General features: G+C 35.8%; 1 protein-coding gene across 17 annotated transcripts in view; it reads left to right on the top strand.

Annotated features, from left to right (window-relative positions):
- SNCA (synuclein alpha) overlaps window positions 1-26867 on the top strand; it is a 114206-nt gene that overhangs the window by 35702 nt on the left and 51637 nt on the right. For 6 of the 17 annotated variants that reach the window (XM_011532205.3, XM_011532206.2, XM_011532203.2 and 3 more), the window contains exon 5: window positions 10938-16713. The exons of the other annotated variants lie outside the window; for them this stretch is intronic. In XM_011532205.3, the coding sequence (XP_011530507.1) occupies window positions 10938-11144 (207 nt within the window). In that variant the 3' untranslated portion in view covers window positions 11145-16713. Of the gene's footprint in view, window positions 1-10937; window positions 16714-26867 lie in introns of those variants that run through there. 17 annotated transcript variants of the gene reach the window in all.

Raw genomic sequence — 26867 nt, 5'->3', positions numbered from 1 at the left:
AAGAAAGAAAAGAAAGACAGATGCGGTTGCTCATGCTTGTAATCACAACTACTCGGGAGACTGAGGCATGAGAATCGCCTGAACTCAGAAGGTGGAGGTTGCAGTAGGGTGAGATTACGCCACTGCACTCCAGCCTGGGTGACAGAGCAAGGCTCTGTCTCAAAAAAAAAAAAAAAAAGCTATTAAAAATATGTAAAGCTCAGTCTAGATACAGTACCAGAATAGTAGGAACTTTATTTCACCTGTCCTACAAATTATGGTTGTGTGCCACTTGGGTAAAACTCAGAATCCAAATATGTGAATGTAAGATTTATGGGGAAATTATTTGTATTTCAAAATAATCCTTAATGAATGCACTCCTTCTAAAGTAGCCATTAATAAAGCAGTTAATGTTTCATTTAATTATAGATTAATGTACATAAGATATGCCAGGAATGCAATTAGGAACTGGGAAGGGGGTGTTATTCTAATAACTTCCACATAGCATTGTGAGACATTTTCTGCTTTCTTCAAATTTCATTTAATTACATTTTAAACAAATATTTTTGTGAGCCTATTATATAGTCCTTCGCTAGCACTGAGGAGACATGCTTTGTGACCTTGGTGATTTCACATTCAAATTTCCCTTTCACCTACACTCTTCCTTGTTTTTTCATGCCTGTGTAGATTGTAAATTCTTCCTCAGATTAAGACATTTTATTCACCTTTGTAACATCCACAGTATCTAGCACAATCAGTGCCTTCAAAAACAATTGGCCTCAAGAATTGATTGACTCAATGAGTGACTGAAAGACTAAATTAATAAGTACACATCTATTTGTACTTCCCTGCTTACTTATAAGGTATGACAATGAAATACTGAGACAGTTATACATTACTTACGGACTCAATCTCATTTCTTTACAATCTCTATTCTTCTTTTTTGAGTATAATGTTATTTTACAATTCCACTAACTTGTCACTCTTTATTATAAATTCATATCTCCATTTCACCTGAGAATAATAAAGGCAAGGAAGTATTTTAAATGATCTTGTTTTTTATAACTAGCATTCATTGAGCAAATCAAAGTATGAAAATAATATAGGTGTCAGTGATTATTATAAAGTTGTATGCACAAAACATTCCAATGATTGGGGCCAATACAGAGAAAACATCTCAATATTTGGAATTTTGCTTTTCTGTAAATACTTTGATATGTACTTACATCATATCAATTATAACTCCTGCTGAAAACAAACAGTGCACACAAATTTGGTAGTTGGAGGAGACTTTATAAAGGGACTAATTACGAAGGTTTAGACCGGGTTAGGAAAAACACACGGAATAGTGCAATACTTTAGGATGGCAACAGCGAGCACCGTTATAACCACTAGGCCAAAATGAACTAAATGAACAGGGAGATTACCATTTATCAGAAAAAGAGGGAGAAAGGAAGGAGAGATGACCAAGCAAGTCCTATGTGAAGACGGCTGCCTGACTTGAGCTGTGTGATCTTTGGACTGATACCACCTGCCTGCACTGGCCTAGCAGGGCGAGAATAGTCAATATCTGGAAAATGGATCACCTGACCTTACTTTCCTCCCTCCCTGTTTCCTCTTTGTGGTGTTTCCACTGGCCAAACTCACAGCGTAGACAAAAGGAGTGCATTGATGTAGCAGTGGTTCTAATCCAGGGCCAATTGTGCTCCCAGGGAACATTAGTGGTTATCACAGCTCAGGGGAGGAAGGGAGAGGAGTGGAGTGCTACTATGATTCACTGAGGGATTTTTTTAAACATCTACAATGCACAGGACATCCTTCCACAACAAAGTATCCAGTTAAAAAATGTCATTACTGCCAAGGTTGAAAAACCGTGGTGTAGTCAGTACAATTCATCTTCTCCAGGCACAGTGCAGGAGTGGGGTGGAGTGTCTGAAGGGGAAGAAGGAAGAAACCAGCACACCCCACAAAAGTAACCAATGCAAATACCAAATAGGAAAAGACAGCACTTAAAATACAAAAGTCTCAGGAATATATCTGATAGTGTTTTATGGAATTTATTAAAATTTAGCCTGGAGTGAGTAATATTTAGCAAGCCAGGTTTGTCTTTAGAGAAATCCTTGTGGGGTTTATACAAGGATTTATTAACAAAGGGCACACACAATACTCATATTACAGTCAGTCTGGTTATGTAAAACATGGGCAAGAATGTAATAGGACAATGTGATGTATTCACAAAGGATTTTAGGACTACACAGATAATCCTCTAATGCTTTCACTTACGTACTATGAAAGGCTATAGTTTGCATAGTGATATAGCCACGTAAGATAGTAAACTTGACATTCATGCAGCTATACATGTTTGCACACACCAGGATGCATGCCCTTTCTACCTGGTTGATTTTTTATTCTTTTATTAATCTCTAATTTATTCCCCAGAACACTCTCCATAAAAACTTTCTCACAACTTAAATCTTTAATCTATTGTGTGGATTTCTGACTCATTCTCCAAGCTTTTCCTCTTCCCTCCGCAATGCCTTATAGTCTTATGACTATTTATCCCTTTGCCTACATTTCTAGCCAGATCTCTTGCCTGATACACACTCTCATATTTCTCTTTGCACGCTACACATTTTTATTTAGATATCACACTACTACTTTGATTTCAACAGGTCTCAGTTTAACTTAATTTTTCCTTCAAGCAAGGAGTCCCTTCATATCAGTTATCACCATTGGCACCAGAATTTTTCTTATGACTTCCCATGACCTACAATATAAACCATATAAATCACTGATGCCTCCATAGTTCCCTCCCTCTCAAATTTAGCCATAAGATGATTTTAGGATCCTTGTTTTTTCCAATCTCTCTTTCATTCTCTCCCCCATCTCTTCCATTATGAAGGTTTGGATAGGACACAACTCATGCCTAGATTAGTGCAATAGATGCTGAGCCTGTGCAGCGGTAGTTTAGCTTTCTCTCCTGGTTAACTTTAACTGCCACATATATCACTTCACACGTCATTTTTCATTCAAACGTATTTAACTGGCTCTTCATTCATAAGAAGCTGGAATTTGTCGTTTGACTGATATTTTAAAGATTTTATATTTTTTCTCCATCCTCGTTCTAATGTTGTATCTTGTGTCATTTGTTCATTCATAAACTTAAGACTTAGCTAACCACTGAGCATCCAGGAAATTCAGTATCTATCATGTGAATTCTCTAATACTGGTTGATCCATTGTCACCAGAGCATAGCAGGCTTCTCCTGCCTTTATGTATGTTTGTCATATAGTTCATGCCTAAAATTCTTTCTTAAATCTTAAATTCCTAAGATACACACTTTTGCCCAAGATCACAGTAATCTCTGCCATAATCTCTGCTGGAATCTGTTCACTGTGTTGCTCCTGCTAAACTTCTTACAGATGACTTTTTTTCTTTTTGGTTTCCCTGGTATCTAGTATAATTTCTTATATAGGTACTCAATAAATGTTTCCTGTTGATCTCTACACCTACTCTGTACAATACCATAGTGACTAGACACATGTTGCTATCAAGCATTTCAAAAGTAGCTAGCCTGAGTTGAGATATAGGGGTAAAATACACAACAGATTTCAAGACATATTATGAAAAAAACCCATAAAATTTCTCAGTAATTTTTTTATAGATTACATGTAGAAACTATAACATTTTGAATAAGTTGTATCAAATAAAATATAAAATTCACCCGGTTCTTTTTAATTTGTTAAATGTGGTGGCTAGAAAATTTAAAATTACATAATTGGCTCACAGAATAATTATAATGGATGGTATTGCTTTAGATCAAGTTTGTCTAACCCGTGGCCCATGGGCCACAAGCGGCCCAGGATGGTTTTGAATGAGATCCAACACAAATGTGTGAACTTCCTTAAAACATTATGAATTTTTTGTTTGTTTTGTTTTTGTTTTTTTCTCATCAGCTATCATGAGTGTTAGTGTATTTTATGCATGGCTCAAGACAATTAATTCTTCTTCAAATATGGCCCAGGGAAGCCAAAAGACTGGACAACCCTGCTTTAGATAGTAAAGCATATGAGTAGTTAATGTGTACTATAAGCAGTGTGATCTGATAGACTATTTAATGTTGTTTGATGGTACATTATTCAAGTCGATTATTATGTCTACCTATGCAGTTTAACGACGGTAATGAGAGAGGGCAGCTTGATTACAGGTCTTATCTTTTGACTAACTTGCTAGGCCACCTGAGAAGGACCCAAATTATCTGAATGCTTAACTCAACTAATTTGTATTCACTTGAAGAATTTCAAGGATGTTTATATGCCATCAACTTGCTTTAAATTTTTTCTCTCAGTGAAAATTTTTCTTAAAATGAGTATGTGGTATTCAAATTTATCCTTGTTTTCTATGATTATCTTTTCATAGCACTGTGGTTTCCAGGAACCTTTTTTTTTTTGAGATGCATTCTACATGTAACTATTGCACAGTTTGCATGTAGTAAGGTTCATTATTCTTCTACTTTTCCAAACACCTGGCATGTTTACTTGAGGTTGGTACACCTTGTATCCCAGATTTTGCTGTTTTTAACTTAAATATTGAATATTTTGATTAAACATTATGGAAAGTTTAAATGGGTCAAGAAAAATAGCTTTTCTTCCCATGAAGAACAATACGGCATAGGAGTTAAGAGCATAGATTTAAAGTCAGAAAACCTGTGCTGCCTACTTGTGCAAAGTCACTTACATGCTGTACTTCTGTTTCTTCATCTGTAAGTTCTACCCCTAGGTATTTACTTAAGATTAATGGAAGCATATGTTCATACAATGACTTGTACAGAATTATTCACGATAGCATTACTCTTAATAGCTCTAACTGGTAACAACACAATAATCAATCAACAATTGTGCTGTATTCATACAGCAGAATACTACTTAGCAACAAAAATGGAATGGACTACTGATAACCTCAACAACATGGATGAATCTCAAAACTATCATGCTGTGTGATGCCAGGCACAAATCAGTACATACTATAATTCCAGAAAAGACAAATGTCATCCATGGTAACAACAAGATCCATGCTTGCTGGAGGTAGAGGCATCAGTTCAGTCATTCAGGAAGCTGATTCCAAGATGGTGTTAGAATTACAACCATCCACAAGAGATTTATTGCAGGCAATAGCTATGAAAGGTAGAAAGAGAACAGGAGAAAAACCAGGCAAGGAAAAACCACAATGTAGTTGTGATATCACTTCAAAGGGAGGCAGAAGGAAGGAGAATTGGGTAGGAATAGCCACAGATTACAGTGCAGTTACAAGAAAGTCTTGGCTTCCAACAAAGGTTACTTGTTGAGGAGTCATGCATTAGGCAGACATGTCTGGGCTGTAGTTTCCTTGCTGCTCCCAGTCATTGGCTGGAGGCCAGTCTGGGTTCCTGTGCTGTGGTGGATCCCATTGCTGCTGCAGCAGGAGGCCAATAGCACTCCTGGCAGCTAATTGGAGAGAAAAGATCCAAGAGGTGTACCTTCATGGCTACCCCCATGGGGCTGGGGTGGAGGTGGAGGAGAAGGAGAAGGAATTAACTAGAAAAAGGCACAAAGGAAAATTGGGGAAAATAATGAAGATATATGATTTCTCAATTGTGGTGGTCGTTACATGGGTTTATTAATGCATCAAAACTCAAGAAATGTACATTTAAAATGAGTGCATATGATTGTAAGTGAATTATACCTCAATATAGTTAATTTTTTAAAAATCATAGATTTCTTTATATTTAATGCATGAACATAAACCTAAGACACTCCTCCACTCCAAAACTTAATTACCTTGTGATCAGCAGAGCAGAAGGTACTTTGTGATATATAGGTAGAGAAGATGAAGTCTTGTGACATTTAACAAGGGACAGGAAAATGGACCTTGTCCTAAGTTACCAAACTGCAAAAATATCACCTACAAAGGCTATTCATAACATACATTTTCAAGGGGGTTACAATATTTGCCTACTATAAAATTTTGGATCTGTAAAGGGGTTAAATTATTTGTGCAGGGGAATAAACATCAAAGAAACATTAAGAGGTCCAGAGAAGTAAAATAGGAAGGGTCTTTTGGCTAGAGGAGATATTTAACTTTCAGAACATGTGGAATTAAGTTGTATTGATTATGATCTGATCTTCTTCCCCCTAAATTTGATCCTCTTCCTGTAATCTATTGTTTCCATCATCTTCAACTCTTCCCTTTCCCTCTCCCTTGTCCCTCAGTTCTAGTCAATCACAAAGTCCTACAGTTTCACTTTCTGTATACCTTATTTCTGGAATTCATCTCTAGACTTCAAAATATATATATATATATTTTTTTTTTTGAGATGGAGTCTCGCTCTGTTGCCCAGGCTGGAGTGCCGTGGTGCAATCTCAGCTCACAGCAGCCTCTGCCACCCAGGTTCAAGCGATTCTCCTAGTTCAGCCTCCTGAGTAGCTGGGATTACAGGCATCTGCCACCACGCCTGGTTAATTTTTGTATTTTCAGTAGAGATGGGGTTTCGCCATGTTGGCCAGGCTGATCTCGAACTCCTGACCTCAGGTGATCCACCCGCGTCAGCCTCCCAAAGTGCTGGAATTACAGGTGTGAGCCACTGCTTCCAGCCCAAAATATCTTAAGTAGATAATTGCACGACTAATCTCTGCTTTTCTCTCCCAGCAGCCTTCCAAATTCATGTCTCACAGCTGACAGAGTTGTTCCTGCCTTCAGATTCATGACCTGGCTCTGTGTTCTAGCTCAGGCTTTCTCTCTCATATCACCTCTTGCCTCTCTGTTGCCCCCATATTTTCCCCTCTGGTTGGTTGGTGCTCCTTTGGAACCCTCTGCATATCTTTTCAAGAATATTATGACTTATTATGCCTATAAACTTTGTTTAATTATTTATTTCTAAAATTTGACAGGGAACTTTCCGAAGGCAGGTATTGTGTCTTTCTCATTTAAAAGCAAATTCTCGCCTGGCATGGTGGCTCATGCCTGTAATCCCACACTTTGGGAGGCTAAGGTGGACAGATCACTTGAGCCTAGGAGTTCATGACCAGCCTGGGCAACACAGTTAGACCAAAAAAAAAATATATACGAAAATTAGCCTGGCATGGTGGCACACCCCCGTAGTCTCAGCTAGTCTGGTAGCTGAGGTGAGAGGATCACTTGAGCCTGGATGGTTGAGGTTGCAGTGAGCTGTGATTGTATCACTGCACTCCAGCCTGGGCAAAAAAGTAAGATCCTGTCTCAAAAAAAAAAAAAAAAAAAATTAGTGAATCCTCAGTGTTTAAAAAGTCCATAAACATACTAAACATAGAAGACCTCCAAATGAAATTAATCAATTATTATTTAGTGGGTTGCTTCTCTTTTGTTTTAATATAGTTTTAACAAAGAGTAAAAGTTATGATCTTTTTATATGTAAAATAAATAATGCCGGGTTTGACATAAATTTTAGGAAAACTAGAGACGCTACTTCCTAAAAATTTTCTTTCTATAATCTTCCTAAATATTTTTCCATAAAGTACAAAATAATAGAAAAAAATTAAGAGATTGAGTATCCTTTCAGGAAGTGATATGACAAATAGGGTTCGAGAACTATTTGAATTCTCACCACTTTTCATAAGGGCAGATCTCAAGTTAAATTTTTCTATTCGAATTTAAATGACTTTCACTGGAATACCATTACAGAAAAGCTTCTGTGTTTAGATGGCAATATGGAGTTTCTTTTCTTGGAATATTAATTGAAGGAGAAGTCTTAATTTTTTAAGTCTATATCTCCGTATATATTTGAACCTATTTTATATGTTAGTCCTTCTCTTTAGTAACCTTCATCCACAGTGAACAAGATTTACCCTTACCTTTAAGCAGTAGCGGCTACTTTATGTGAAGTGAACAGCTGCTTTTTTTATCTGCATCTAGACATCAAGTAGTCCAGAGTCCTTTCTAACACCCTAGCAATAGAAGTAAGAATATTTTGACCATTCCATGACTTGATGATACTTCTAGTAATAATACTGTATTATTAAAAACAAACAAACCTTTGTGCAGTGGTAATTGAAGCAGTTCCTTGGGAACATGTATTAAGTACTTTTTAGCAGTTAAGTCCACTCTCTGTAGGTTAAGGAATATTTAAATAAAATAATGTGGCAAATGAGTTCAAGATGATAAATGCGATGAGAACTAAAACAGCTTTAATTTTATGTGGGAAATAAATAGAGGAAAAGTACATTACAGGGCTCCTGGACTTATTTCTTTCTTCAAAGTGTTTCTCCTAGCGAATATTATTACTATTTTTTCTCTTAAGTAAAAAATACACAAAGTATGAATCTACACAGGATAATAATATTGAAGTTAAGGATGATGTCTCCTCCTTCACTCTCCAAAATACTATTTACTTGGCTTCATGGAAATCTCTCTCACTCCAATTCCACCGTGTCAACTGAGGTCTTCTGTTCTTTCTCTCCCTATAGCATATTCCTGTTACATAAATCCTAAACTGTGTCGTGTTAGTCACACACTGTAACCTCTAGATAAGCGCCTGTCCAGAGGTTCTCAATCAGAGCCTTGCAAATATGTATTAAATCAATGGGTCATCTTCAGTGTCTCAGTGGGCCCTTGGATATGTTTTGCAGACTGCTGTGAGTATGTAGGGATGTCCAGTATCGAGGGAAGTGTGGATGGCTTTCATTGGTTCTTATAGGGCTGAAGAACACATAGAGCAGTAAGCACTTCTACTGTAGGGAGAGATCGAGCTTCTCCCATCCCCACTGCTGGCACCACCACCACCCTACACCCCATTTTGAGTTCTGAAAGTGAATCCTTGAGAAAGAACACACAAAACAACCATCATAATAGTGGGCACAGCTGTGGGTGGTAGAATAACATTCCCAAGCTTCTTTTCCTACACATGATTAATATTAATTCAGCAAACATTTATTCAGCTCCTACTTTTAAACAGGCACTATTCTAGGTACTAAAGACATAGAGGCAAAGCATACAAGACTCTGCCTTTGTGAAACAATTAAGAAATAAGTAAAAAGAAAAGAAACAGAAAAGGCAATTTGGATAGTGTCAGGTGCTATAAAGAAAACAAAATGCCATTTTAATAAATAATAATAATACAATGTTTTCATACTATGTGCTAGACACTATGCTAGTAGGTATTTATAGACATAACCTCAATTAATCCTCAAAATGGCATGTTGATATCAATACCCCAAGTTTACATATGAGACTTAAGATGTCTGAGTATATTCCCCCAGGTAACAATTAATATGCACAATAAAACTTTTTGCTCATTCATTTATTAACCTATGTTGATTGAGTACCTATTTTGTGTCAGGCATCATTTTAAGGCACCTGGATATAGTTATGAACAAACAAATAAAAATCTCTGCCCTCAAATAATTAATATCTCACAGAGGTTAGGCAAAATATAATCAGAAAATAAGTATAACGTATAGGATGCCAGATCATGAAAGAAGCTATGAATGGCATCAAGAAGCTGGAAAAGGCAAGGAGACAGATTTTCTCCTAGAGTCTCCAAAACAGAACACAGTCCTGCCGACACCTTAACTTTAGGCTAGTGAGACCCCTATTGGACTTCAGACTTACAATCCCACAATGTAATAAATTTGTGGTAATTCAGTAGGGGAACAATAGAAAACTAATACGATATCAAAACAAATTATATCATAGAACAAGAAAATGTAATTGTGACAAATAATACCTACAAAAATGTTGTAAATGCTAGGCAAATAATGTGTTTAAAGCACTTAGGCCAATGTTCAACGTAAAGTAATTCATGCTATAATATCATCATCATCATTACCAATATTTAGGGGCTCTAACAAATGATGTACGTGTAAGCAGATGTAAGAAAATTTCCTTGCTGAAGAGGAGGTATTAATAGAGTATATAACAATAGATAACAAATTCCAAATAAAGGCAAACTAAATGTTTTATTGGATTAAATTTAATTTTAAAAACTACAAGAGGCCGGGCGCGGTGGCTCACGCCTATAATCCCAGCACTTTGGAAGGCTGAGGTGGGTGGATCACGAGGTCAGGAGATCGAGACCATCCTGGCCAACATGGTGAAACGCTGTCTCTACTAAAAATACAAAAATTAGCTGGGCCTGGTGGCGCGTGCCTGTAATCTCAGCTATTTGGGAGGCTGAGGCAAGAGAATCACTTGAACAACCAAGGAGTCGGAGGTTGCAGTGAGCCAAGATTGTGCCACTGCACTCCAGCCTGGCAACAGAGTGAGATCCCGTCTCAACAACAACAACAACAACAACAACAACAACAACAACAACAACAACAAAACTGTGAGATCCATGGTGGGCTTTTAAGAGGAAAATGCAAGCTAAGGTTTGTTTAGACTCTGAGTACTGCATGTGTAAAAATAAAGGCATGATGAAAAGATCAAGAGATTAGAGTGATACTTTTTATCTACTAGTGTCAGAGTCATGACCAGGGGATTGGCTATGAGAATACATAAGCTGTGCCAGGAGTAATCCAAGGAGATTGTTTCAATTTGGAAGAGTGTCCACAGAATGATTCTCATACTAGACGTTGGGCTATTGTAAAGAAAGTTGGTAGGTACTCCATCGCTAGGATCATATCAGGGAGAAATTGAACAGGATGGCCCTAATGACCCTGTTGTACCCCTAGCTTATGGATTAGGCAAGTCACTTCTACTCGTATACCCTGTTTCCCCATTTGTAAATAAGAGGATGTGTTACTCTAAGGATCTCTAAGATTCTTTGCAGTTGTTAAATTGCATAGCTCTCCACTGATTCCATGGTGGAAATTTGCTATTCTATTACAAATATTCTAAATGTATGAGATATCAGACATACTCATTTAAAAAACAAAATACAAAAAATAAGTATTCTACAAATAAACACAGATAATGTTTAAATTCTATATGTCTTTGTTTCTCTTCAGAAGCATCCAAAATACAAACCATCTAAGAGGCAAGAAAATGTCGTGATGTTCCTAGTGCAAGTTAAAAAGATTTGCTTTCCTCAAGTCGGAAAGCCCTTCTCATTTTTGAGGTTTTTTTCTTCTTTTTTTTTTCAAGTGAAAGCATTTTGGAGGAGTCAATATCCATCTTTAAAGGTAGCCAGGTCACATGTATACATATGTAACTAACCTGCACAATGTGCACATGTACCCTAAAACTTAAAGTATAATTTAAAAAAAAAGAATTTAAATAAAAAAAGAAAATCAGAGAGAAAAAAAAAAAGATGCATGTGCACCCTGATACTACCATCCATAGTGATACGGTTTGGCTTTGTGTCCCCACCCAAATCTCATCTTGAATTGTAACCCCCATGTGTTGAGGGAGGGACCTTATGGGAGGTGATTGGATCATGGGGGTAGTTTCTCCATGCTGTTCTCATGATAGTGAATGAGTTCTCATAAGATCTAATGGTTTAAAATCATGGCACTTCCTTTTGCTCTCTCTTTCTCCTGCCATGTGAGGTGTGCCTTGCTTCCCCTTCCCCTTCTGCTATGATTGTAAGTTTCCTGAGGCCTCCTCAGCTATGCAGAACGGTGAGTCAATTAAACTTCTTTCTTTATAAAAAAAAAAAAAAAAAAAAAGGTAGCCAGGTAAAAATTACTTGTTTCCAGGACATTTTCACCTGAAAGAAGCATTGTCATATAACATAGAAGCAAGAAATCCAGTAGTGGGGGTTATTTAAAAATAGCTGGAAAATTTCAATCAGCATGAGTTTGAAGCAACAATTTATCATCACCTTTTATGGTGGGTGGGGTTAAGAACATTTCAGCGGGCAAAGTGGTGGTGATGGGGAAGAGACACCAGGGGAGGTGATTCCCATTGCATTGCTTTGTAAACAGAGGCACAGGTTCTTCATTTTTGTCACACAAAATCACAGCTATGCAGAATTTATTAATTTATTCTTCTGAGACAAGAAAAAAGCCACCAAAGGAAACCAACAGCTTGCTCCTCTCACACTGGGGGAACCATATGAGAGACTTATCTATCCCTGACTTTAATTTTGACCTGAGGAGAGCTCCTCTTAAGGAAAACAAATTAATTCAATGACTATACTACTTAATCATTGACCTTTATTTAATAAGAGATTTTTCCATAGGATATGCTGAGCTGTCTCACTTACATCAGTTGTGTCTCCTGAGGTGGGTGACAGGAGACCACAAATATTGCATAGCACACAAATCGTTAATAGCAGCTGTATACCAAACCATTACCTAAATATGTAGAGTACAATTCATTCTCACTAATGTCAGAGAGCATGCTATAAAATGGTGAATCCGGACAGCTGAAGATACTGAATAATAACCTCTATTTTGAACAAGTTTACAGTGTTCCAATCAGTAATTAAATTGATACCTGATGAATATATGTGTGTGTATGTATTCATAGCAGAGATGGTTTTCCTGAGATAAGGATTTTGTTATTCGGATAGGCTGCTGCTGGAATTGTCCTTCTACCCTTGTTTCTTTGTCCTTAGTCATCACTCATACCTCTTTCCACTCTTCTGCCATCACTTTTGTCACCAAAGTCATGGTCCTTTCCCCGCCGATTGCTGCTGCAGGTCTAGGGCACCAAGACTTAGGCAGCACTCACCATGTGCCAAGAACTGGACCACAGGTACCATCCAGCATTGCTCATGGAGACTCTGTCCCTTTCTGTAGGACACCCTCCTTTTAGCTAGCAACCCCTCCACCACCTAGAGCCTCTGGACCTCTCATTTTAATATTAAGAACTAGGAAAACTTACCGCTGAGAATAACTAGTACAACTAGAACTGGTAGAGAAATCTGGGTCTCTTGGGAATGGATTTTTAGGCTTTATTGATTAGAGGTGTATTAATAATGCAGTGTTATAGTTTCATGACATAACGAATAAAAAAGTTCATTTTGGACTTGCCTTTCAGCTCCCTAGGAGCTAAAAGACGTATTTAATGTAACTTGTGTGGTGGAAATAAGTTCTTTTTTCAGGCAAAAGATGTGCAAACCCATCTGGGGAAGAAACATTAAAAACTAAGGAGACAGTGTCCTAGATAACTATGTTCTTTTCCTGTTTTAGTCTAAAATAATGATTAGTTTTCTTATATATCTTCATTTGTCTTGGTTCCTTTTAGCCCAATTTAATAATATTATTGCAGATATTGATGAAAACCTTTACCTTCCTCTTAATTCATCAAAGTACTTGATAAAATTTATACATAGTACATTAATTGGGAGGTTTTTATGAGATTAATTAATATAATGAACTGATGTTGAAATTATTTAAAACCTGAATTATTATTGTATTAAGTAGGACACTTAATACAGTTAATCAGTTCTGTCTTTATTCATTTGTGAGAATTTTTGGCAAGCTATTGTGAATATTCAGGGAAGGGAATGTATTTTTAGCAGGAATCTTATACCTCCTACATAGAAATGAAGCATTTACTGAAACATCCATGAAACAAAATGTTTCTGAATGTGTACTATACACTTGTTATAAGCCCCTTTTCTTCTGTAGCTATATTTTGGAGAAAAATCTTTGCTTTGACAAAAAAAATTATGTTGACTTACACATATATTTTATAACTAAGCAGTGTTTGGTTTGTGATAAAGGATACAAAAATATAAAAATGTTCAGCACACGTAAGTAAGGCCTTGTTGACAGTGTGAGTTATGCTACTGGATACTCAAAAGGAACATTCAGTGTTCTCAGGTGGTCTCTAGACTGTCTCAAGCCTAGGAAGATATTTTATAAGCAAAGGAATAAGAGAAGGAAGATTCAGATTTAATCCAAGTGAAGAATTCAGTTTTGTGTGCCTTATCCTGTTATTTTGAGAGGCAGCCAAAAGATGCTGGTCAGCAAGGAGAATTGTAAGTTGGGCAGCCAACTCTGATTTCTCAACCTCTTAGCTGTTTTCTTAAACTCAGAATTTTTAATGAATTTAAATGTCCATATCAGGTAGACTTTGGGGATGCTTTTACCAGTGATTTTCAGAATGTTACTTTCTGGCATTTCTTTTCACGTAGCATTATATTAAAAATGAATTCATTCATCCACCTTCCCTTGTCCTTACTAATTTTCCCTCCTACTCCCTTCCCCCTTGTTCTTGCCATGGGGACATGCAAACACTGGTGGTTGATGTCTGAGCAAGGCTGCTGACAGGGGGAGGAAGGAGATGTCAAGCAGAGGTCAATGGCAGTGTGCCCAGCAGCCTAGGAAGTAGGAGGGAAAAGAGAGAGAGACAGAGATGGTGGATGAAAGAGAAAGCCAGGATGATTATGGTGGTTATGATACTTGTCATGCTGAACACCCAATTGAGCACCCAATAAGCACATAATAATTTAATCATCCTCTGGCTTGGATGGCAGTGTTCTATCAGTGTTGACTTCCTGGTTGTGACAGTTTTACAGTGTTAGTGTAGAAGAGAATCCTTGCTTTAGAGAGGTACTTACTGAAGTACTTAGGGTTAATGCACCATTGTGCTGGAAAAAGATACGCACACACACGCACACACACACACACACACACTCTCACACACACGCACAAATACATCCATGTGTTAGGCAGAGGGAGCAAATGAGGTAAAATGTTAACAATTAGGAATTCTGGGTGAAGTGGATAGAGGGACTCTTTGACTGTTCTTGAAACTTCTCTATACATTTGATCTGTTTCAAATTCTTCAGAAAATCAAACTACAAAAACTTAATTCATTTAGTGAACATCTACTGAACATCTGTATATTAAATAGTGTTAAATGAATGTCAATTAAAATGCTCAAACACAGTAGAGGTTGATTCTCATTCACATAAGTCCATGGTAGGTGTTTTTGGCAGGTGGGTGAGTTTCTCCCTTAGGGAGATTGAGGAACCCAGACTCCTCCCAAGTTGCAGCCCCACCGTCTTCTGAGGGGATGCATCCATACCCACTTCGAAGTAGCATACATTATTTCCTTTCTCATTCCTTTGGATACCAGCCACAATTTATTCAAGGTAGACAGAAAATTGTAGTATATAGCCATATGCCCTGACAAAGAAGGGAGAACAGATTTTGGTGGACAACTAGCAAACTCTGATACAATCTGTTATTAAGCACTGTGTGTGGATAGATGCTAACTAGAAGGAGATTATCTTCCCTTCAGCAAATATAAACTGAATGCCGTTTATTTGGTTGAAACTAAGCTAGATCATGGGAGTATAGAAATTTTATAAGAAGACATAGTCACTTCTGTCAGTGAGCTCAAGAAGAATTAGTATGCGGAATGTAATCATACCTACAGGGGGCTTGTGCCACTTAAGTAAAATGAAACATTATTTTGAGTACAATTTAGCAATAAATGTACTACGAGATCATTAAAAATCATGTTTGAATGTTATTGTGTCAAGGATGGGAAAAAGACTTTTGGGTTGTAGACTTGATAATTATAGTTAAAAACAGTTTTTATTCTTGTTTAGTCTTATTTTTTATGTTTAAACATATTTATACTTGCTAACATTTATACTTGCTAAGTAAAGACTGTTTTTACAACCATGACAAGAACAAAACATATTAGTAATGCAAATGCCACATTTCCTACAATCAACTAATCACACTAACATATTTGCATGGAAGAATCACTGGGATTGATCTGGCCACGTGTGTAGTCATGCCCAAAATGTGAAGTCCATCTGTTTTGCAATTTTTTTTAACCACTGTTATCCAAATGCTCCTTGGATTTTTTTTATTAGTGGATATATTTTGGAGGTCAGACACCCTCTTGGCTAGATCATCACCTTTATAACAAATATATATACTATTCTCATGGAAATATATTTAGACATTGCCCTACTGGGAATTTTTTTCAAGTAATTAATGTACAGCTTGTGCAACAGCTTGATCTTGGCTTCATGGAAATAATTCACTCTTAGCAGCATCTAATGCCACAAAGCATTTATGGATGTCAGCTCAGAACTTACTTTTATTTATCTCTGAGTTACTTTTTTTTTTTTTTTTTTGAGACAGAGTCTCACTCTGTCTTTGGCTTGTCCCTAACCTCTTAACAGACTTAATATTAAGCTCCATTTCACTCAGTCGTTCTGTTGTCATATAAATGAGACATTCTACAAGCATAGTTTTTAGTTTCTGCCAGAGCATCATACAACATTGTGAGCTATGATGAAGATAAAGACCTAGAGAAGATATTTAATATGAAGTTCATTATCTAATATTTGGTATGTGTGGCAAAATAGCAATCTACTGCTTGGTTCTGCTGTAATCTATTTACCCACCCATCCCATCTTTCTTTCAATTTAAAAGGATAATGATTTTAGTCACGATTATACATAAACCCATTACCATAGGCAATAAACAATGGGGCAAACCATTGGTCCCATAGTTGGAGTGTGGTCTGAAGTGTGTTTTGGTGGAGAGAGATCTATGTCTGGAGATAGCTAACATGGATTTGGATCCCAGATCTGCTCCTACCTGTTGCTGTGCCTGTGACCAAATCATGTGATCTCTCTGGTTTCAGTTTACTTGTGAATAAAGTAAATACCTTCATCAACACCTGTTTTTGAATACAATGTTTTTCTGTAATTTTTGCTTCTTATAATGTTATAATGATCATCCTTACATCTAAATCTTGGTTTACATTTTCATCAATTCTTTTGGAAAGATTGGAGAAGTAAATTTTGGAGATGTATGTCGGCTATTAAAAATGTTTAATTTTTTAATTAAAAATTAAAACGTTGAAAAATCCTGATGCAAAATAAATGCATTATGCTTAGTGAACTCTTCTCATTTCGAAGTTTATTCACCTTCTTGTTTTTGCAAGTTTCCTGAAAAATGCATATAAAGTCACTAAGTTAGCAGAACTTTATAAAATTATATAACTATATATAATCTTTTGATATCAGTGAAGCCAGCTGATCCTATAGAAATAATGTAGGAATTATAATCACTAGCACATAATTTAAGAGTCCTGTGGTCTTATTCATGTTATTTACCCTCTCTGAATCTTACATATAGTAAGAGGGTTATTATACATAATATGTGTACATGTATACAGGTAAGTAAGTATATATGCTTATGTGTAAAAGCAGAGTTATTGTGAGAGTCAAATGGAAATGTGAAAGTACTTTGTAGTTTTTTATTACTATTATTAATTTTTAATAAAATGGTAACATTCATTTAATAATCATTAGTTTTAACTTCAGATTGTACTGGATTTCCTCTAGTATTTCTTAAGATTAGTGAATAAAGTATTTCTCCTAATAAATATATTGACTACTGTCTTTCGATCAAACATATTAGGTATATTTTTACAGTAGCATCAGGCAGTGAAAATTTGAAGCTCTTTATAGAGGACTGATTTATGATGAAAAGGAATAACATGAACAAATGGAATTATATGAAGCTTCCCCAGAAATATCTAAGAGGGGCCAATTTTAAGAAATATCTGACTTCTTTTTCATGGACATTTCAAAATAAACCTAACTCATATGGTACAGTTTTTAAGAGGGAAAAGAAAAAACCATCTGAGAATCTCTGGAATTCTGCCGAAAGTATCACTTGGCATTTTATTCTACCTTCTGGATGCAGTTGATTGACAGTAGTGTTATGATGCCAGGGGTATAGTGACTAGAAAAAGAAAACCAGGGAATTCAGTGTTCTTGCTCATGAAGAACAGCTTGGTTCTTTAAAAACAATGAGATTTTGCCACCCCATCTCACAAACCTATGATTTGTGAGAACAATCCCTTTTGTGTTGCAAGACTTTTACATTTCTCTTCCCACACTATATTAGAAGAATAAACATTGCTTCATAAGTACCGATTGATAGTCTCATTTCATATTTTTAAAATAGAGTTACTTTAAGGTTAAATTTTTCATGTAGATTAAAATGACTAAGTAACCATTCACATATTTCAAATAAAATATATTTTTACTACAAAAGGAAAATAACTAGATTCTTAAGTGTTATAGTCAAGTGTAATTGAGTAATATGAATTCTAAATGAATTTCTAAGATCTGCTCAGCTTTCACTACTTTAGGAAGGAACAACTTAAGAAAAATTTTAATAAAGATATCTCTTCACACACATGGCAGTGTTGTACTTAGAGAACATGACCCAAAATTTTTTATGACTGCATATTGAATTCCTGATACTCTTGGGAAGCTCCAAAAGCACCAGTGGAGTTTCCAGATGTAACTGTGGCTGCAGACCCGCCAGTCCCGGTGTTGGAAGGGATCATTATAGGCTCTTGTGTGCAGACTCATCTTCAGACCCAGAGGAATTAAATAACTTGCCCAAAGTCGCACAACTTTCTCATGGTAGGTTGGGCACTAGAATAAATATTGCTTTTTCTTAAGAGTTTTAGCCTCCGTATTATGAAATCTTCTATGTTCTGCTGATGATATCTCCTTTCTTCATCTGTTTTCTATTTTTAAGCAATGGAAATACAAACTTGCAACTCCCCATTTCCAACACAACTTAGAAAAAACAATATTTAAAGAAAAAATTACAGGCATCTCATCTCCTTTACCTGACAGATGCTTGATAGTAATGGCCTCTAGATAGGGATGACATCTAATATAAATGTGTCCTTTCAAGTCAAGCTTTCTCTGTTCATTAGTAGAAATATTGTATATCAAGTGTGCAAAAATTTTCTTCAACAGGGAGCTTTGTTTCCCTCCTTTTATTATAACAATCTGAGCTTTGTGGTCCCAGGGTCTCCTAGTGCCTGTCTTTAGGTCTGTTTATTCACATGAAGAAAGCATGTCATATAGTATTATCTAAGACTCAGGCTGCTTATGCATGATGACAGAAGGGTTCCCAGGCACAAACATTCATCCATGCATTCATCCATCCACCTATTCATCCATTGATTTGGCTGATAATTATTGACTACTGTTGAGTTGCCCTCAGATTTAGTTTCTGTCCTTCTGCCATGGGGAAATATGGGGTTAAGCCACAACATACTCTTCTCTTCTTTTTCTGCACCTTCTTAGTATATTTAGTTCCATTTTGTCTAGCCCTGCCTCTGACTTCTTTGTTGTACTTCAGGTTTTTTATCATTGAAAGTTATTTCTGGATCATAGATCATTCTCTTGGTCACTTTGCTTGTTCACTTATAAAATTAATTCAGAAAAAATGACCCACAGTAATTACCGTAAATCACAGACCATAAACTATAATACTGTATATTGTATTATAGTACAGAAATATTTATACTTTAAAATGTTTTAAATATAGATATTATAAAAAGATATGTCTCATATAAGTAATATAAATACTTTTTTATTACCTCTTCTCTCCCTATTCTCCAGGCCAGTGTTTTAAAAATCCATCTTTATATGTCCATCCTGGAAAAAACTCATGATCATAAATGAGTTTCTCAATAGAGTTTATAAGCCCACAGTTGAAACACAATTGTCTTAGCATCCATTTAGTTGTCATACTTTTAAGATTTAATGGCAAATATTATGTTTTGTTTCTTCAAAAGAAATATTTTAAAATTTTAGTAAAGGCAGTTAGAGAAGGTAGAGATAATGGACTGTTTAATCCTACTTTTCATCCCACAAGTGAACAAAAAAATGATAAAACATTTTTCCCAAAATGTAGCTTTAACTATACTTAAATTTGGACTAAAATGGGAGATATCTTTTCTACTATTGAAAAGCCGTGTCTGTAGATTAATGCTAAAATCGGGTGTAAAAGCAAAATTTGTTTGGCTTGATTGCCAATGGCCCATTCATTTGGCTACAGAAACAATAGCACATAGCAACAGATAATGATGTGAGATCACCTAGCTCAAGTAAGAGTGTCTGATCCGTCAAAAATATATACATCAAGATTCAAAAGAAATGTGTGTTTTCTCAAGTCATCTCTGTAAAAATACATTAAATAGAGGAATAGAAGTTTGACTTTGAAAATACATTGCAGACCCAATCCGTCTTTCCTATTTTCTGGTGAAAAGTATCAAATATGTGGAACCTGGAACTGCTATTCTCCTTCTTAAAAATCTTTCTTAATATTCTATTGATAACTGGTGCAAGCCTAACTTTTTGTCTTACCCGATTCTTCTCACACCAAAGTGATAGGACCTTCAGGTAGCCTTTGGATAGAAGATAAATAATAATTTAACTATTGATGGAAGTTAGTATTAGAATTAGACTTGGAAGTCTATGGAATAAAATGATTCTACAACAATTTGTACTTCAGACATTAGTATAACAAAACATGTTTGCCCGTGCATGCGGAAACAACCAATTTCATGTGGATGCTTATATTCACAAAGGAGTAACCACCTGGGGTTTCCCACTGTTGCTCCAGAGAAAACTAGCAGCAGGAGAACTTCTCTGAAGGTATCAAGACATCTTTAAAAAACACTTGTTAAGTGTTGGTTCAGCTAAAGCAGGGAGTTTTCAGTTAGTAATGGCTTTTAAAAATTAAAACAAGTTTAGCATGTAGGTCATTAACCTTGAATCACTGTCATGATTATTATTAACCATCTGTTCTCAAATCGAAAGATATTTTTCTTTTCTAGATCACATTTATTCTCACATTGCTCAATTTCACTATATATCAAGACATGAAAACTGTAAAAATCACACCTTCTACATTATTATTTTTATTGAAAAATTCCTAATGAAACAGTGCGCTCTGGGATAGAGAAAGGAACTAACTGACATTTTGCTTCTTAACTTGTTTTTATGCAAGTTCTAAGTGGTTTCTGGCCATGTACATAAAAGACAAATATCTGGAAAAAAAACTAGCAGAAGTCAGTTATTTGGCTCTATCTACTTTGAGAATTATGTTATATAAATGTTAGGAAATTTTTTGTAATATTCTTATTTAGAAATGAAATATAAAAAGTTTTAAAAATATCTAAGGACAGTATACAGTCCTAAAGTAAAGCTGTTAGGTAAATGCTACACAATCCTCTTATTACAGAGTCACTTACCTGAGAATATAAGAAGAGGGCCTCTTGTTTAAGAGTAAATGTGAGCTGCAATCAGGATTCTGCACTCATTTGGACACTTAGTTTTGTTTTTCCATGACTGGTGTTGCCTGTTACTGAGACACCTACCTGTCATGTGACCACAGCTTATGTTACAATGTGTCTAGTCAGACTTAGAGATGTGTGAAAGAGCAGTACCTAGACGGGAAACTATGGGTCTATAAAGGTTTTGCCTTCTTGGGCGGAGTTCAAACTAGGAAGCCACAAAACTTCCAGTTGCATTTTCACAGATTAATGAAATATATTTTACACTTTTCCTGAAAGATATTTTATTTGTGCAAACCTTGTTACAAAGTACAGCCAGTTGATTAATCGATGAAGTGATTTGTAGTGGATTCTTATATTTTGTGTAAGGGTATATGTGAGGCCCTATATATGAGGCTTTCTATATAATGAAGTATAATTCAGTTCAGCATTTCAATTCAGCAATCACTTATTGGGCCTCTACTCAGTTGCCTTCAGGGCTTTATAATTTAATTGATAAAGGGAGGTTAATTAATTAATTATAACAACAGATCGCTTAATAGTGTAACTACTAATTTAATTAATGACAAATAACAATACATTAAAAGAAATGCATTAATAAAAATAATATATTGGTGTTATAGACAATAATTTTCTGATTAACTTTATTATTATTATTTCAATAGCTTTTGGGGAGCAGGTGGTTTTTGGTTATATGGAGAAGTTGTTTAGGTATGATTTCTGAGATTTTGGTACACTCATAACCTGAGCAGCATACACTGCACCCAATGTGTAGTCTTTCATTCCTCACCTTCCTCCCACCCTTCCCCTCAAGTCTCCAGAGTCCATTATATCATTCTTATGCCTTTGCATCCTTTAGTTTAGGTGGCAGTTATAAATGAGAACATGTAATGTTTGGTTTTCCACTCCTGAGTTACTTCACTTAGAATAATGGTCTCCAACTCTATCTACGTAGCTACAAATGCCATTATTTTGTTCCTTTTTATGGCTGAGTAGTATTCCATAGCATCCACACACACCCCCCTATGCTTTATATATATATGTAAATATATCACATTTTCTTTATCCACTCATTGGTTGATGGGTATTTAGGCTGGTTCCATATTTTTGCAATTGTGAATTGTGCAGCTATAAACATGCATGTGCAAGTGTCTTTTTCATATAATGACTTCTTTTCCTCTGGGTAGATACCTAGGAGTGGGATCGCTGGAACAAATGATTGTTCTACTTTTAGTTCTTTAAGGAATCTCCATAACTTTTCCATGGTGGTTGTACTAGTTTACATTCCTACCAGCAGTGTAAAAAAATGTTCCCTTTTTACCACTTCCATGCCAACGTTTATTTTTTTATTTTTTAATTATGGCAATTCTTGCAGGAGTAAGGTGGTATCACATTGTGGTTTTGATTTGCATTTCCCTGGTCATTAAAGATGTTGAGCATTTTTTCATATGTTTGTTGGCTGTTTGTCTATCTTCTTTTGAGAATTGTCTATTCATGTCCTTAGCCCACTTTTTGATAGGATTATTTGTTTTTTCTTACTGATTTGTTTGAGTTCCTTGTAGATTCTGGATATTAGTCCTTTGTCAGATGGATAGTTTGCAGATATTTCTCCCATTCTGTGGGTTGTCTGTTTACTCTGATGATTATTTCTTTTGCTGTGCAGAAGCTTTATAGTTTTAGGTCCCATCTATTTATCTTTTTTGTTGTTGTTGCATTTGCTTTTGGTTTCTTGGTCATGAACTCTTTGCTTAAGCCAGTGTCTAGAAGAGTTTTACCAATGTTATCTTCTATAATTTTTAAGGTTTTGGGTCTTAGATTTAAGTCTTTGATCCATCTTGAGTGGATTTTTGTATAAGTTGAGAGATGAGGATCCAGCTTCATTCTTCTACATGTGGCTTGCCAATTATCCCAACACCATTTGTTGAATAGGATGTCCTTTCCCCACCTTATGTTTTTGTTTGCTTTGTTGAAGATCAGTTGGCTGTAAGTATTTAGCTTTATTTCTGGATTTTCTATTCTGCTCCATTGATCTACATGTCTATTTTTATAGTAGTACCATGCTGTTTTCCTAACTATAGTCTTGTAGTATAGTTTGAAGTTGGGTAATCTAGTGCCTCCAGATTTGTTATTTTTTGCTTAGTCTTGCTTTGGCTGTATGGGCTGTTGTTTTGTTCCATGTGAATTTTAAGATTTTTTTTCTTGTTCTTTGAAGAATGATGGTGGCATTTTGATGGGAGTCGCATTGAATTTATAGATTGTTTTTGGCAGTGTGCTCATTTTCACAATATTGATTCTGCCAATCCATGAATAAGGGATGTGTTTTCATTAGTTTCTGTTGTCTGTGATTTCTTTCAGCAATATTTTGTAGTTTTCCTGTAGAGATCTTCCACCTCTTTGGTTAGGTATATTCCTAAGCATTTTTTTTTTTTGCAGCTGTTGTAAAAAGGCTCAAGTTCTTAATTTGATTCTCAGTTTTGTTGCTGTTGGTGTATAGCACTGGTACTGATTTGTGTACATTGATTTTGTATCTGGAAACTTTACTGAATTAACTTATCAGATCTAGGAGCTTTTTGGATGAGTCTTTAGGTTTTCTAGGTATACAAACATATCATCGGCAAAGAGCAACAGTTTGACTTCCTCTTTAGCAGTTTGGATGCTCTTTATTTCTTTCTCTTGTCTGATTGCTCTGGCTAGGATTTCCAGTACTATGTTGAATAGAAGTGGTGAAAGCAGGCATTCTTGTCTTATTCCAGTTCTCGGGGGAAATGCTTTCAAATTTTCCCCCGTTCAATATAATGTTGGCTGTGGGTTTGTCATAAGTGGCTTTTATTACCTTAAGGTGTGTATCTTATATGCCAGTTTTGCTGAGGGTTTTAATCATAAAGCAATACTGAATTTTGTCAAATGCTTTTTCTGCATCTATTGAGTTTATCATATGATTTTTGTTTTTACTCCTGCTTATATGGTGTATCACATTTATTGACTTGCATATGTTAAAGCAACCCTGCATCCCCGGTATGAAACCCACCTGATCATGGTGGATTATCTTTTTGATATGCTGCTGGATTCATTTAGCTAGTATTTTATTGAGGATTTTTACATCTCTGTTCATCAGGGATATTGGTCTGTAGTTTTCTTTTTTTGTTATGTCCTTTTCTGGTTTTGATATTAGGGTAATACTGGCTTCATAGAATGATTTAGGGAGGATTCCCTCTGTCTCTATCTTTTGGAACAGTTTCAATAGAATTTGTACCAATTTTTCTTTGAATTTCTGATAGCATTCACCTGTGAATCCATCTGGTCCTAGACTTTTTTTGTTTCCTGACATTTTTTCTATTATTGTTTCACTCTCACTATGCATTATTGGTCTGTTAATAATTTCTATTTCTTCCTGTTTTAATCTAGGAGGTTTGTATATATGCAGGAATTTGTCCATCTCTTCTTGGTTTTCTAGTTTGTGTACGTAAATGTGTTCACAGTAGTCTTGAATAATCTTTTTTATTTCTGTGGTATCAGTTGTAGTATCTCCCATTTCATTTCTAATTGAGCTTGTTTAGATCTTTTTTCTTGTTTTCTTGGTTAATCTTGCCAATGGTCTATTGATTTTGTTTATCTTTTCAAAGAAGCAGGTTTTTGTTTCATTTATCTTTTGTATTGTATTTTGTGTTTCAATTTTATTTATTTATTTATTTATTTTTATTTTTATTTTTTGAGATGGAGTCTCACTCTTGTTACCCAGGCTGGAATGCAACAGTATGATCTTGGCTCACTGCAACATCTGCCTTCCAGGTTCAAGTGATTCTCTTGCCTCAGCTGCCCGAGTAGCTGGGACTACAGGTGCCTGCCACCACACCTGGCTAATTTTTGTATTTTTAGTAGAGACGGGGTTTCACCATGTTGGCCAGGCAGGTCTCAAACTCCTGACTTATGGTGATCCGCCTGCCTTGGCCTCCCAAAGTGCTGCGATTACAGGTGTGAGCCACCACACTAAGACTCAATTTTATTTATTTCTATTCTGATCTTTGTTATTTCTTTTCTTCTGCTGGGTTTGGGTTTGCTTTGTCTTGTTTTTCCAGTTCCTAGAGGTGTAAGCTCAGATTGTCTATTTGTGCTCTTTCAGACTTTTTGATGTAGATATTTAATGCTATGAACTTTGCTCTTAACATGGCTTTTGCTGTATCCCAGAGGTTGTGATAGGTTTTGTCATTATTATTGTTGAATTCAAATATTTTTAAAATTTTCATCTTTCTTGATTTCATTGTTGACCCAAAGATCATTCAGGAGCAGATTATTCGATTTCCATGTATTTGTATAGTTTTGAGGGTTTCTTTTGGAGTTAATTTTTAATTTTATTCCACTGTGGTCTGAGAGAATACTTGATATAATTTTGATTTTCTTAAATTTATTGAGACTTGTTCATATGGTCTGTCTTGGAGAATATTCCATGTGTTGATGAAAAGGATGTAGTTGTTGGGTAGGATTTTTTGTAAATATCTGTTAAGTCCATTTGTTCTAGGGTATAGTTTAAGTCCATGTTTCTTTGTTGACTTTCTGTCTTGATGACCTGTCTAGTGCTGTCAGTGGAGTACTGAAGTCCCCCACTATTATTGTGTTGCTGTCTATCTCATGTCTTAGGTCTAGTAGTGATTGCTTTATAAATTTGGGAGCCCAAGTGTTAGATGCATATACACTTAAGATTGTAAATTTTTCCTGTTGAACTAATTATTTTATCATTATATAATGTCTCTCTTTGTCTTTTTTAATTGTTGTTGCTTTAAAATCTTTTTTGTCTGATATAAGAATTGCTATTCTTTCTCACTTTGAGTTTCCATTTGCATGGAATATCTTTTTCCACCCCTTTACCTTAAGTTTATGTGAGTCCTTACGTGTTAGGTGAGTCTCTTGAAGACAGCAGATACTTGGTTGATGGATTTTTATCCATTCTGCCATTCTGTATCTTTTAAGTGGAGCATTTAGGCCATTTACATTCAACATTAGTATTGAGGTATGAGGTACTGTTCTATTCATCATGATAGTTGTTGCCTCAATACCTTCTTGTTGTTGCTGTTGTTAATTGTGTTATTATTTTATGGGTCCTGTTAAATTTATGCTTTAAGGAGGTTCTATTTTGATGTATTCAAGTTACTGTTTCAAGATTTAGAGCTCCTTTTAGCATTTCTCAGTGCTGGCTTGGTAGTGGCAAATTCAGCATTTGTTTGTCTGAAAAAGACTTTATCTCTCTTTCATTTATGAAGCTTAGTTTCACTGGATACAAAATTCTTGGCTGATAATTATTTTGTTTAAGAGGCTAAATATAGGGCCCAATCTCTTCTGGCTAGCAGGGTTTATGCTGAGAAATCTGCTATTAATCTGCTATGTTTTCTTTTATAGGATACCTGATGCTTTTGCCTCACAGCTCTTAAGATTCTTTCCTTCATCTTGACTTTAGACAACCTGATGGCTGTGTGCCCAGGTGGTAATCTTTTTGCATTGAATTTCCCAGGTGTTCTTTGTGCTTCTTATATTTGGATATCTAGATCTCTAGCAAGACTAGGAAGTTTTTCTTGATTATTCCCTCAAATAAGTCCTTAATGACCCCACTATATAACATGAAATATCTGTTATTGGTACTGAGGTGCTGGCCACAAACAATTCTGTGTGTCCTGAAAACTCTTCAGAATATTCGTCATCTTTAGCACTTGTTATCTTAGTGTTTGGGCTTGGCTTAGAGTGATACATCTCATAACAGGGCAACAGAAAGAACCAGGAACCAAGATTTATATAACATAAGTCAGTAAAACTAGAGGCACCAGAGGTTTACATTTACATTAGGTTACATTTTCTAACAGGTAGCAAAGCACATGAATGAAGTTCAGTGGAAGGCCTTCCTCAGG

The sequence above is a fragment of the Homo sapiens genome, chromosome 4, assembly GCF_000001405.40.
Source record: "Homo sapiens chromosome 4, GRCh38.p14 Primary Assembly".
Taxonomy (NCBI): domain Eukaryota; kingdom Metazoa; phylum Chordata; class Mammalia; order Primates; family Hominidae; genus Homo; species Homo sapiens.
The sequence above is the reverse complement of the archived record's forward strand: the minus strand, read 5'-3'. Positions and strand labels throughout refer to the sequence as shown.